The sequence below is a fragment of the Homo sapiens genome, chromosome 2 (genome assembly GCF_000001405.40).
Source record: "Homo sapiens chromosome 2, GRCh38.p14 Primary Assembly".
Taxonomy (NCBI): domain Eukaryota; kingdom Metazoa; phylum Chordata; class Mammalia; order Primates; family Hominidae; genus Homo; species Homo sapiens.
The window spans coordinates 138,874,922-138,889,833 of record NC_000002.12 but is presented as its reverse complement, the minus strand read 5'-3'; positions in this window follow the sequence as shown (position 1 = coordinate 138,889,833).

The following is a 14,912-nucleotide window of genomic DNA, read 5'->3' as shown; positions in this document are numbered from 1 at the left end:
TCTGTTTATGTGATGGATTACGTTTATTGATTTGTGTATGTTGAACCAGCCTTGCATCCCAGGGATGAAGCTGACTTGATCGTGATGGATAAGCTTTTTGATGTGCTACTGGATTCAGTTTGCCAGTATTGTATTGAGGATTTTCTCATTGATGTTCATCAGGGATATTGGCCTGAAGTTTTCTTTTTTGTTGTGTTTCTGCCAGGTTTTGGTATCCAGAATGATGCTGGCCTCATAAAATGAGTTAGGGAGAAGTCCCTCTTTTTCTACTGTTTGGAATAGTTTCAGAAGGAATGACACCAGCTCCTCTTTGTACCTCTGATAGAATTTAGCTGTGAATCCATCTGGTCCTGGGCTTTTTTGGTTGGCAGGATATTAATTTCAATTTCAGAACTCAATTTCAGACTTAATTTCAAAACATGTTATTGGTCTATTCAGGGATTTGACTTCTTCCTGGTTTAGTCTTGGGAAGGTGTATGTGTTCAGGAATTTATCACTTTCTTCTAGATTTTCTAGTTTATTTGCATAGAGGTGTTTATAGTGTTCTCTGATGGTAGTTTGTATTTCTGTGAAATCAGTGGTGATCTCCCTTTATCATTTTTTATTGAGTCTTTATGATTCTACTCTCTTTTCTTCTTTATTAGTCTAGATAGCGGTTTATCTATGTTGTCAATCTTTTCAAAAAACCAGCTCCTGGATTCATTGATTGTTTGAAGGGTTTTTTTGTGTCTGTCTCCTTCAGTTCTGCTCTGATCTTACTTATTCTTGTCTTCTGCTAGCTTTTGAATTTGTTTGCTCTTGCTTCTCTAGTTCTTTTAATTGTGGTGTTAGGATGTCGATTTCAGATCTTTCCCTTTTTCTCCTGTGGGCATTTAGGAAGCACACTATTTTTATGCATTTATTTTATTCGTTGGGCTGTAAGGCAATGTCACCATAGAAAAAAAGACATAGTCTTTATTAACACAAAGTTTAAAAAAAGTGTACCAAATGTTGATAATTCTCATCCTTTGAAATAAAAACTGAAGGTATAATCCTGGTGATGCTTCCATTTTAACCTCTTATCAAATAAATTGGGAAATAAAGACAAAGGACCAAAGCTCTAAGCTTTGCAAAATCACCACAAGGCTCAGTTTCCTTATAGTAAAATAGAGACAATAATAGCACCTATATCCTAAGGTTGCTATGAAGATGGAAAGTGTTAGGTGAGCTGGGAATATGGAAAGAGTTAAGTGAGTATTAGCTACAATCATAAGTGCTTGGTATTAAAACCTTCCAGTGATGAGGCTTTATTTGTTAATTACCTGGTAAAGAAATAAAATGGAGATCTCAGTATAAGGCATCTAAAAACACTTGGGATGAGAGGCACCCTGAAAAGCAGGACAAATGGTGAGGTACGAAGGCTGATCAATTGCAAGAAAAAGAAAGCCAGGGAGCAGGTTTGGGCTTGGGAAGAGTCTCAGTATTTAGGGCCAGAGAGACCTGGGCAAGGTTTCTGGATAATAATCCCATAAGGTAGGTTGAATATATATTGTACACCCTGAGATTAAGTGAATTGCTCAAATTTACACAACAAAACAGGGCTTGAACCAAGATTAGGATTCAGCCTTCTTTTATGGAGCCAATGGATATATTTGTCAGCCCCGTGGTAATTCAGGGAACACAATTCCTCTTTACTCAGAAGAATGCCAAGTTTTCAGTCAATCTCTTCCTTAGTAATGGAGTGAGAGGGAAATGAATTGGGGTGATCCTCCTTCAGGGCTGGCACCACATCACCTTTCTTAGGGGCCAACCAGTCTCACAGGCCTGTGGGAGGAAACAGACAAGAAGGCCAGGTCTTGGGGTCACTCAATTCAGTCCCAAAAGGATGATGTGTGGGATCAACTGTGGAAATGGGGACCATGGCAGATTAGTCAAAACTTTCTCGTGTACCTGCACAAACCTCTCCTTCCAATTTTGGCAACTGACCCAACTCTTTTAAAAAAAGTTTTCGGCTGGGCGTGGTAGCTCACGCCTGTAATCCCAGCACTTTGGGAGGCCGAGTGGGCGAATCACGAGGTCAGGAGATTGAGATCATCCTGGCTAATACGGTGAAACCCCGTCTCTACTAAAAATACAAAAAAATTTAGCAGAGCATGTTGGCGGGCGCCTGAGGCAGGAGAATGGCGTGAACCCAGGAGGTGGAGCTTGTGGTGAGCGGAGATCGCGCCACTGCACTCCAGCCTGGGTGACAGAGTGAAACTACGTCAAAAAAAAAAGTTCTCAGTAAACGTCTTTGCTGTATGTGCCATTAAGTAACAAGCATCTGCTTTGAATATATTAACCGTATACTACTCTTATCGCACTTTGATACTCACATGTTTACATATTGTACAATATGTTTATTTAAACTAATTAAAATTTCTTTAAACTAAAACTACATATGCTCATGATGATTTTAAGTAGACCAGGGATATAGACACTTCCATTAGAGAATAATCCTTGTTTTGTGTTCTCTGGCTTCAGTTTCCTCACCTCTGACTGTGGAGTATTAGGTTCTTTCCATGTCTAGAATCCTATAAGTCTGTATAACTCCTCTTGGTGTATTTGTTTTGTGTGAATTTGGCGAAGCTGGCACTGTATTTCCCAGAATACACCTGACAGCATGGCTTCCGATGAGCATGGGCCACAAGAAATCTTCTGCAAGTGACTGAAGGCAGAAGGCACGTAGAGGCTCTACTGCTTTTCACACAGGGAAAAGTCAGAGCAGGCCAAAAGATAATTTCTCAACTCAGGCACATAGTTGCTTATCAGCCGGCTCATTTTGTTGGCATGGGGCAGCACCTGAGCCCATCGCAATTCCAGCTCCTTTCAGATGCTTTTCAGCTTCTCTAACTCCTTGGTCAGGGTGTGTTTAGCTTCATGACAAAGGGCACCAGACTCTCTTCCAGGACACTCTCCCACTGTAAAGGATGGAGCTTAGAAGGAGGTGGTGAGAGAACGATGCAGGTTCCAGCCCATTGCTGTAGGTTTGCTCTCATCTTCACCAGTTCTAGTTTGTCCTTGCTTCCCTCACTTCACATCCATCTTCCATTTCTGACTGCCCATGTTCAGACTTCAGTATCCCAACAAGAAGAACCAGCTTTCCAATGATCATTTAGCCAATCCTTACAGTTCTGTAAGATAAAAGCCCTATAATAAATCTGCAGATACATGATAGACAGCCAGATAGTATCTTAGACTGTTCAGACTGCTATAAAAACATATCTTAGACTGCATAACTTAGAAACAACAGAAATTATTGTTCAGAATTCTAAAGCTGGGAAGTCTGAGATCAAGGTGCTGGCAGATTCAGTGTCTGGTGAGGGCCTGTTGCTCATAGATGGTGCCTTCTGTATCCTTGCATGGCAGAGGAGCAAACAAGCACCCTCAAACCTCTTCTTCAATGGCAATAAACTCATGAGAGTAGAGCCCTCATGACCTATCACTCTCCAAAGGTACCACCTCTTCATACTATTGCATTAGAGATTAGGTTTCAACATAAATTTTGGAAGGACACAAACATTCAGACCATATTAGGTAGGTAAGCAGATAGATGGAGAGAGAGAGAGAGGGAGAGAGAGAGAGTTTCCTATCATCAGATCCTAACTCCTTTCATGTCTTTTCATTTTGTATGATGTTTTTTCCATTTTATTAAACTCGACTAAGCTTCTTAAGGGCAGAAGTCTGCATATAGTGTTGCTGGATACCTAATAACACAATGCCTGGCACAGCAAACTCTCAATCAATGTTTCCCATTGTTAACTGTATGATGCTTTTTCTTGATAATATGTATTTACGAAGAGAAACCTGCAATAAAGTCTTCCTAACCCTCTGTAAAATTTCTTTTTTAAAAACATAGTAGTTGTAGTAATACTAATAACTTGTACTTACATGTTGTTCATTAAATGCCAGACATTTACATAGATAAACTAATTGAAGTTTTACCACAAGCTTATAGGAGTCACAACCAGGTTGGTTGGTTCTTGGGTTTGTTCTTAGTCACTGCAATATTCCATCACCCAATGTCATGGTTGATTAGATACATATTTTTTAGTTTGGGTGTGGTGGCTCATACCTGTAATTGCAGTGCTTTGGAAGGTCAAGGTAGCTTGAGGCCAGGGGCTTGAAACCAGCTTGGACAACATAGCAAGACTTTGTCTCTGTAAAAAATAAAAATTAAAAAATTAACTGAGCATGGTGCCAACATGCCCATAGTTTTAGCTACTCAGAAGGCTGAGGCAGGAGGCTCACTTAAGCCCACAAGTTCGAGGGTGCAGTTGTGCCACTTCACTCCAGCCTGGGTGACAGAGTGAGACCCTGTCTTAAATAAATAAATAAATAGAATATAGTTACACTAACCAAAATTTCTAACACATAACACTTTTATATTAATAGAATTCATTTTTTTGCAATATATGTATTGGTTGGGATCCCAATGGTACACAGATGACACACTCATAATGGAATAATAGTGGTGGACATTTTAAAATGAAACTTTACAAAATTGAAGGTGTAGGGAAATCACAAGAAATAGCACTGTAACTGATGGCTTAGTAGCAGCTGATTTGTTATCACCCCCTAAATCTTTAGAGTTTAAGGAAGGCCAGTTTCTGGGATTAGGAGGAACAAAGAATTGCAGAATGAATCACTGTGAGAGATCAAAAGTTACAGCCAACCTAAGGTGACCTTGAAGGAAGGAACCAGGGAAGGAAATAATATGACCTCTCTCTCCCCTCTCCAATCTCCTCTTGGAACTCCCTATTGGCCTAACTCAGCTGAAAGTCAGACCAGTGGAAGTCACCCACTGATGTGGCCCACACGAATCAGCCTGGCAGAATCATAGAGGTGCCAAGCAATTAAGCTGACTATGTCTAATGTATGTAAACTTTTGTTTTATAATTTCTCCTTGGTCACCGATGATTTTCCACATGATTTCCAAGACACCTACTACATGGTCATGAGTCAATTCTCCTCCAAGTTCATCCTGATGACAGCTGGTTTTTCGTAAGGTTTAGCTGTGTCTTTAAAAGCAAATTTCTAGATAATTATGTTGCACAGAATAAAGAAAGCACTTCCTTTTTCCTCTTATGCTGCAACCCCTCACTTTCTGATATTGGACACATGCCATGCATTTTGCATTAGCTCTGTGGCAAATGTCTAGTGTTAAAATCCAAGCATCAGTGCTCATTAGCTTTTTCAGGAGCTTGGAGACAAGAGTTGGAAAGGTACAACTCAGAGAAATAATTCTCAGTGAGCAAGTAGCAATTTGCCAAGCAGATAAAAAAACTGAGGAAGCTGGAGTAGGAAACCCAAAGAAAGTTGCCTGAGTTAATGAACCAAAATTTGAGCCTATGACACCAACTAAAAGGATTTTTTTAAAAGCCACAGAACTTGCAAAAAAAAAATGTTAAGGGATACAATGGGTATGGTTCTGTGAACTTTTTCCTCTAAATTCACCCCTGCCTAGAACCTACGTCAAAAGAGAAAGGGCCAAGTGGCTGGGGAGTGAATTAGGACCATCCTGACAGATGGAAGGGAGGAAAGATCGTCAAGAGACTATGTCAGTGTGTTTGCCATACTGGAAGAGGGCCAGGTGCCCAGTCTGATGTCAAAGCCTCTAATTGTCCTGGGCAGAAATGCTTCTGATTGAAAGGACATGATGTAGCAAATGCAGGTCTCTGTTGAAGGACCAGCCCACACTCTATCCCACTCCCACCCAACACACATATATATTAATCATAAATGCCTCCAGAGACACTTAACTAAACCCCTGCAACTTTCCTTACCTCCTCCAGGCTTGCACAGACATTTTAAAAAGTTACATTTTAGCCAGAGCTGAATACTACAACATATTATGTAGATGAGGAAACAACCAAGTCCACCCAGGTCCTTTGTGGGTATCTGGCATGAGAAGGCCAGTGGTCCACACAAGCAAGAAAGGGCATTTTAATCAAGGAGGGCTGGAAATGAACTGGAAAGCTCATTTTTATTCTTGGAGTGCTTCTATTCTTAAAAGGATGTACAATTCTGAAGTTTGTTCAAAACTATTTAAGGAAATAAAAGATTAATGTATCAGTAAACTGGATGAGCCTGTCAGTATGGAGAGTCCAGATGAGAGTTATTTTAAAATACGTGTCGTTCCATGATCAAAACGATGCCTCATAGTTCTACAAATGAGAACCTTCGTCACAAAGATCCCTATATACTTCCCTTCATCCTCCTAGGAGCAGGGAAAAGGCAGAAGCCTCAAGCTCTGAGATAGAAGATGGCTTAAAAGAGGCTGTAGTCATTGTCTCACCTACTTCCGTTCCTGTTGTATATAGCTAAGAAAATGGGGTCAAAGTTTCACATACAAATATTTTGCCGGTCCTAGAGGACGCTGGAAGGCAGTTGTTTGTATCGTGTTGGCCTCCGTGTGCATCATTTTCTCTGCTGGTACCTTCCATTAGGAGCCACCTTGACATCATCTTATTCATGTCTTATCCAGGACCACACCACATTCCAAAGACTTCTCCAAATTATCAAACATTTCCTGACCTGTCCCTGTTCCCTAAGAGCCTTACTTTCCGATAAACAATCCAATAAACAAATTTTGTGGAGTGGGTTGAAATATACACATTTCAACTCGGATTTGCTAAATGTCTAACTTTTTTCTGAAATAAACTTTATGTTATTCTGGAATAATTATTACTAATTGTTGTGGCTCTGACCCGTGTCACTTGAGTTATGTGGGAATTATGTTCGCTAGTAGACACTTGCCTGTGTAGTTCTGGATTGTGGTTGCTCACAAGAAATATTCATGAGAATTGGAAGGTGGAGAAAGAAGAGCAGACATGTTTATACTTGGGAGTTTGGCTTCTATGGCAGTAGCTCACCTTGTTGGCGGGAATACCAGCCAGGTCTCAGCATCTCCATCTCCTGCCAGATATCCTCCTCCTACTCCCCCAAGTGCTAGGCTGGATGTGTGTGCACTTTTATGGCGAAGGTACCAGCTCCTTCTGCAGGCCATCAACGTCATGCACACTGGAAATGGCAACAGAGAGATGCAGGTTCTACTTTGTCCTCATGAGCTCCAGTTGGTTCTTGAAGATTCCAGTTTGTCTTTGCTCTTTGCAACTTTATGTTCTGATCTCCCTCTTTATTGCCAGAGTAGCTGACCCATAGTCACTTTGGGCCACCACCTGGCATAAATGAAAAAGCCTTGTCAGATTACTCCCACGATTTCCTAAGTCCTGATCAAACCCTGACTGATATGCTGAGGCACACTTAGATTTGACAATTAAAGGTATCGTGATTCCTTCCAGTTTAAAAATAGATTCTTTGGGTAAATATTCAGTTGAGAGGTCAAGATTGTTTTGTGATTCTCAAGATATTTCGTTTCCCCTCAAAATGAAGTCCAAATGCAAGGAGCAGGTAATGTGCTCACCTTGGTGCCTTGCTGGTACAAATTACAGGCCTCCCAGCGTTACTGTACCTGCCCACCCTGAAGCACATGGGGCATTTGTGTAAGCTCACAGGGTTCTTAAGGAACTGGCAGATGGTTTAAGACTCTCTCGAGGCCCTTCCCTCTGCCAGTTTTGCTCTCTATTTCTGTACCTTTTTTGCCTCAGCAGCTGGCCTGAAAAGTGACCTTCTCTCAGGGACACCAGCACTGTAGTTCTCAGACTGTTCCTAACTTACCTAGATTTCTTCCTTAATCCCACTTCAGGAGAATTGGCTCCATGGGGAGCTGTAGAACTCAAGTCAACATTTATTTTCATCTCTCCCATCTCTACAGATTATTCTACCAGCATAGAGAGCCTATGACCTACCTTTTATTACTGGGGAAAAGGGCACTTTCATTTTATTATACCCTCTCTTTCTCCTTCTGTATTCTGTGACTTACATAAAAGCTCTATTATCTGAGTCAGGCACGCTTGGTTCTTATTAGGAGAAGGATGCTTTTGGAATTTAGAAAACTCTCTTCTCTCTCAATAAAGTCTTGCTTTGAAGACACTGTCTAGTTAGGATACATAAGATGCCAATTTGTAACTAGAGTGAGCAATGACCTCTTTGCTCTCGATGTCCCTGAAGCAAATAAATGAATAATTGTGCTTGAGTAAATGTTACAGGACATTTAGGCCCCAGAGACAATTTAGAATAAAAATACATTAGTGTATTATCTCAATATTATTTTCACATTATATCTTCTGATATTTTAATCTTTCTAGGGAGTAGGTTATTAAGATAATAGGTAGAAGTGCAGTGATGTATTCTTAAATTCATAGATGCTTAAAATTCAAAGAGACCACAGGACTAGGTGGTTGACACATGTATCTGATAGGAATTGCATTAGGCTGCTAGAGATAGGAATTGCATTAGGCTGCTGGTTATGTACAAAAGGACATAGGCAGTCCAGTCTGACTTGGCCATTAGGGACTGAGTCGCTTCTGTATTTCTGCTCCACCACACCAGATGTGTCTCTTTCATTCTCAAGGTCATGTCATCATCCTCATCCTAAATACAGCTGGAGCTACAGCCCTCACATCTGCTTTCCCAGGAGGAAGCCAGAAGAGAGAGAGGAAGGGCAAAAAGCCTTTACCAGAAACTCCATCCAATAAGTGCTCCTTATACCCTATTGATAACATGTGTCTTCAAGGGGAGTTGGGAAATGTACCTTTTCATCTGAAACAACCTCCCAGATCCTATTGGTAAGAAAGAAGAGGAGAATGGATACTGAGGAGGCCTTGAGCTGTCACTGCCACACCACTCCCCTACCAAATTATCTCCAACTTCTGGCTAGCCGATCTCCAGTGATAGCGAAATCTCCTACAACCAAAAGCAAACCAATTCAATAGCAGACTGGCTTTTTCCTGTGTCTAGCTGAAACCTGCCTTCATGATGCTTCTACCTGATCACTACTCTGCCCTATGGTGATGATAAGAACAAGTGATATTTCGAACAAGTGGTATTTCTTTTCTACAGTTGTCCTTCAGTTACCTGAAGACAAACACCACATTTCCCCCAAACTTTCCTTTGTTGTCCTTGTTATTTTGTATTGTTTTATTTGTCCCATCAGGCTGCATCTGAAATACTCTGGATTAATTCTGTTCTGAATTCACCTCCTTTTATAAATGTTCCTCTTAAGGCAGTGATCCCAGGATAAAACATATTTCCAGTGTTGTACCAAATCTAAAGAAACGATTCAAATGACCATGTTTCTTAGTTAGCATATCGAGCTTCAATTAACTAGTCTTTGTGGAGACAACAATATTAATAAAGAAGAGTTTCTATAGAATTGGGAGTCTTGTGGGCCATAATACGTTGGCTGTAATTTTGCATTTTAATATAAGCTATGTAACATAGGCATTTAATCTGCATACACATAGAGCTAGCTATGAATACACAGATATGTGCAACTGAAGACTCCACAGCTACAGCACAGTTACATTACAGGGAATATAATTTCATAGTTTAGAATAAAAATAATGTGAATAACAACACCAGAAAAATACTCTCAGTCAGATAACCATAACACCTCCCATTCTGGCTTAGTCCTCCCTTCCCTAAGCCTGGACCAGACTCTCATTTTGCCATATGCTGGGCAGAATTTGAGCAGTATGCTTATTTCTAACTGACATGGGTAAGCCGCTCAAGAGAAACTAAGTGCCTTTGACTTAAATGACTAAGTGAGAATTTGGAGGGAAATGGTCCCCAGGTGCATATGAAGAGGCTCACACATGCAGCTCAGCTGTAATTGCTGGAAGGCTGGTTTTGCTGAAGACTAGAGATGCTGACAATAGATTCACACGTAAAAACCAGAAGTGTTGAAACTACCAATCTTTAGGTCCCACTGAGGAGGCAAAATGGGATAATGTTCTTCACCATGTGGCTGCTATTGATCTCTATCTTTCCAGAGAAACCTAGACAATTGCTTCAATCCAAGTAACCAGAGATAACAGCAACCCCTGTGCCCCCGGCCATGTAGGGGAGAGGTTGGCATTGCTTACTAACATTACAAGGAAAGTGGGGTGTTCATCAGAGCACCCAGGGATACCTAAGGAGTCCTTGCCTGCCTTGTGATTTCTTCTCAAGGTGTCAATAATGGTCCCTCCACAGCTGCAGGTTTGTGTGTGTACCCTCAGGCTTTCATGGAGAAAATGCTTCTTTACAAATGGTTCCAACAAATATTTCAGAAAAGGGTTGTCATTAACCAGCTTAGATCACATGCCCTGACTTTCCATAAAGGGAAGAGAGCTAGGGAAGAGCTGCTTTACCTGCACGACATGGTCTAGGAATGGAGAGGAGTCCCTAAAGTGGAAGAGTTGTTCCATTACTGGAAGAGGAAATAGACAACTCGACAGAGCAAGGCAAGAGATGATCTTCACACCTGGAATCACACGAAATAAGAGTTATGGAAGATATAAACATTATATTAAAAGGAAAATCAAGACTACAGAGTTTGCAAGCTCTGGAATCAGCAAGGCTGGATTCACACTACCAGTTCTGTGACCTGGGAATATTAATTAAACTCACTAAGCTTGTGTTATCTGCTATAAAATGAAAATAATAATCCTATCAAAATTACAATGTGGTTTATTTAAATTAGGCAATCCATATAAAATACTTAGCTTGCGGCTACATAGAATAAGTGCTTAATAAGTTTCTATCATCATCATCATCATTGTATTATTATTATGGTCATTATATGAGAAAGGAAGAGACTAAGAGCAGGGTAGTGGGAATCAGAAGAAGAGCAATGGTTAGAAATAGCTTAACATTTTGTGTTGATTGTGATTACTCTGTGACTGAGTGGATTGAGGCTGGGACCAGAATTTTAGTTAGGATACAACACATGAATTTTTGTACATGTTGTACTTTGATAACTTAGAGAACCATGAGATGCTACCACTTCAAGGCTATGCATTGGAAAAAGCTCTGGGACTTTTCCATGGGGGTAAAAAGCAGGGATCTATGACCCAGTGGCTGTAGGCATTTGGTGGAACCCTGGCTCAACTACCCAGTCCTCACTGCATAATATGCATGTTTTGGCTCAGTGATGAGAAACTGAGTTCTGCATGCCTTAAAAAACTAATTACCTGCCACTCATCTCCACCACCAGTGGCACCAAATGCACTGGTTTGGTGGTCACTGTCAGATACCCCTTACCTAGTCTATGTGGCCCTTTGCCTGTTTGGGTGACCTTTTCCTTCCTACTGCCAGCATCTCAGGCTCTTCAGAGTACAGCCCTTGGGCTACCAAAGCAGCTAGGCCTCTTGTACAAAAAGCCAAAATTGCTCAGAAATTCACATCTTCTGGGTAGCCCTTAGACATGACAAATGACAACTGTAGCTTACACTCCAGAGTTCCCCCTAAGAGTCAGGCCAGGCAGAAGCCACCCTTCTCAGGACGCTGCCTGAAGTCACACCCTTGTTTGCCTCCTTTGCCTTCCCTGTCCTGCTTCCCAAGTTCCCAATGAGTTTCTTCCGGGCTCAGTTTCTTAATAAATCAAGGTCTGCTTTGGGGCCTTCAACCCACGAAAATTGCTGACCCTACTACCCCTGGGTAATGTTCAGCAATTTGGACAGCTTTATGTTCTGCTCTCTATCACTGGGGTTTCTTAAGCTCCCACAACCAAGAATTTATGGGAAGCCACGGATTTTGCTCAGGGGAAAAAAACACCATATATACACAATATTCTACATCATTTCAAAGAGTTTCTGGGTCCCCTGAAACCCACCTGTGGGCCTTAGTTTCAAAATTATTGACCTTGACACACTATTTAAGACAGGGAACAAAACATAAGATGCCAAAGTGCCGGAAGATTAAGAAAACGCATACTTTTAGTGTTTTCTTTTTTACTCTTTTCGAGGCCTCATTAATTTTGTATTCTATCAATGATTTTGCTTTGCTGCTTCTTAATTTCCTCAAGCTGGCAATTGTTCCGGATGTGTTTAACTTTCCCCTCCAGATCATACTTCCCCACCTGCGGTGCTCCAGCAATTGACTATGCAGGCTGCATCCTCAGGCTGCCTTGCCTCCAGCATTCAGGTGGGCTTGCTCAATACGAATAACCACCAGAGATTGGAGAGGGAGCAGAAAGTGGAGCCTGAGGTTTAGTTTTCCTGCTGTCTCCTCAGTGTTACCATGGACGGGCAATGTCCTCTAACTGAAGAATGTAGCTCCTATCATGTGGCCCTCCACACATGACTCACCCTCTCCAGATTCTGGAGATTACTTCCTCCCATTTCCCTTCAGGCGTGAGGTGGTAAAGTCTCACTTATTTTAAATTCCTTGGGTATCACACTATACCCTGTGGTTTCTATTCACCCTGGCAACATAGTTTTGTAAACAACTATTTTATTAAATTTTCCTTAATTTATGCAATTTGGGTGCCATCTGTTTCTTATAACATTTTGATGCATAATAATTCATCAAAATGCACTGACTATCTTTCATTCCTGAGGCAGGAAGCAAGGTAAAGGCTGGGCTAGAGTTAAGGTTAAGATTAGAGTTGGGGAGAGGGTAGCTATAAAGATGTGCCCCCTAGCTCTCCTTTTTAAGGTAGAAATTTAAAGTTCAGAAACTAGCTAGGATGAATTTTATCTTTCCTCATTCTCTAATGCAGCTCTGTCCGTTATGGTAACTATTAGAACATGTGACTATTACCATGTGGCTAGAGATTTGCTGTAACTACAAAATGCATGCTGAATATTGACAACCAAACATGAAAAGAAATGTAAAGTATCTCAATTTTTATATTAATTTCATGTTGAAAGGATGATATATTGGTAATATGGTTTGGCTGTGTCCCCACCCAAATCTCATCTTAAATTGTAGCTCTCATGATTCCCATGTGTTGTGGGAGGGACCCAGTGGGAGGTAACTGAATCACAGGGGCAGGTCTTTCCCATGCTATTCTCGTGATAGTGAGTAAGTCTCACAAGGTCTGATGGTTTTATGAAGGGGAGTTTCCCTGTACAAGTTCCCTTCACTTATCTGCCACTGTGTGAGAGGTGCCTTTCATTTTCCACCATGATTGTGATGCCTCCCCAGCCACGTGGAACTGTGAGTCCATTAAACCTCTTTTTCCTTATAAATGACCCAGTCTTGGGTATGTCTTTATCAGTAGCATGAAAACAGATTAATAGAGTTGGATACAGTAGGTAAAATACAATATATTATAAAATTAATTTCCCTCTTTTGCTATTTTTAGCATGGCTACTAGAAAATTTTAAATGTCATGTGTGATTCAGATTGTATTTCAAATGTAACTGTCATCACCTAGTTATATTTGTCTCTCTTTAGAACTGCATAGATGTACTTTTGGTAATTCTTTATAATACCCTTCCCTTAGTTTTTCTATATTATTTACTACCACAGAATCTCTTTCTAGAAATTTCTCCTAGAAAGTAAGTTTCTTGGTGTAATACATTTTCATTTAACTTCACTTCTTTGATGAAAAGTACCTGGCCTTCTGCAAACACAGAAAGCTGAAAGTGTAATGAGACCAAGTGTTTAGTCATTGCTGCCACTAGCACATCCTCTTCTATCCTCTTGCAGGACTGAGCCAGTAAAAAATACTGACCTATTTAAAGTATAGGTAGTTACTCCAGGTGATGAAAATTTGCACAGCCATTGCACTGAAGGGTAAACATGTTTAGGCAACACTGCTATACTCACAAATTATGTCCACATTTAAAAAGTCTTTTAACTGGATAAAGAAAATGTGACACATATACACCATGGCATACTATGCAGCCATAAAAAAGAATGAGATCATGTCCTTTGCAGGGAGTTGAACAATGAGAACACATGGATACAGGGAGGGGAACATCACATACCGGGGCCTGTTGGGGGCTGGGGAATAAGGGGAGGAAGAGCATTAGGACAAATACCAGATGCATGTGGGGCTTAAAACCTAGATAACGGGTTGATAGGTGCAGCAAACCACCATGGCACATTTATACCTATGTAACAAATCTGCACATTCTCCACATATAACCTGAAACTTAAAGTAAAATTAAAAATAAAAATAAATAAATTAAAAACTTTTAGTATGGAAACAACCTATCGGTTTCATATTCTTTTTAATGTAATAAATTTATTCATAGTATCTTGGAAATAAAACTGAGCATCAAGCAATTGTTACACCTGGTATAGCAGACCTTGTTAGTGTTAGCAATATTAAACCTAATACTTAGGCTTGTTAAAACTAGGCCATGCAACAAAACGTGAACTTCTAACCAATTCTATCCCACCCACTATAGTGCTGGACAGGATAAACCTGTTACTTTTAACATAATAGGAAAAAAACATTAAGCCAAGACATAGTAGCTTATTTTTATGAGAAAGAGTTTCTTTTTATGCACTTGAATTAGGCGGAACTATTTCAGTTTTGAATAACGAAACTTCAACTCAAACAGGCCTCAGCTAAAAAGGGAGTTTATTACTAATATTGCAAAGTGTTCAAACTAAGTCACATAAAATCTGTTTCTTGCTATTTCTCGATTCTTCTTTCTTTGGTGTTAACTAATTTTTGGAAAACATCATGTGTTGACAAAGGTGACGAGCTAACCCCAGGCATATAATCCTCCACCTCAACAGCCCTGCCAGAAAGAAATCTCTTCTCTCCCAGTGGTTCAAGCAGAAGATCCAAACCAGTTTCTCATTGGACAAAAAAAATCTATGCTTTATCCCTACCCAATAACTGGCATTCTGGTTGGTCAGGCCTGGGTCATGAGCCTACTTATGGAGTAAAGAAGAAGAAAAATTTAGTCTTGAGAATATGGAAGAAACATTTCACAAAACGACAATGGGAACTCCGTTAGCTGGATTAAGAGGTACCAGACAAGCTAAATTATCAGATGTGCACTACAACAGGGAAATAATTAAATGATAAAATAAAGTAAAAA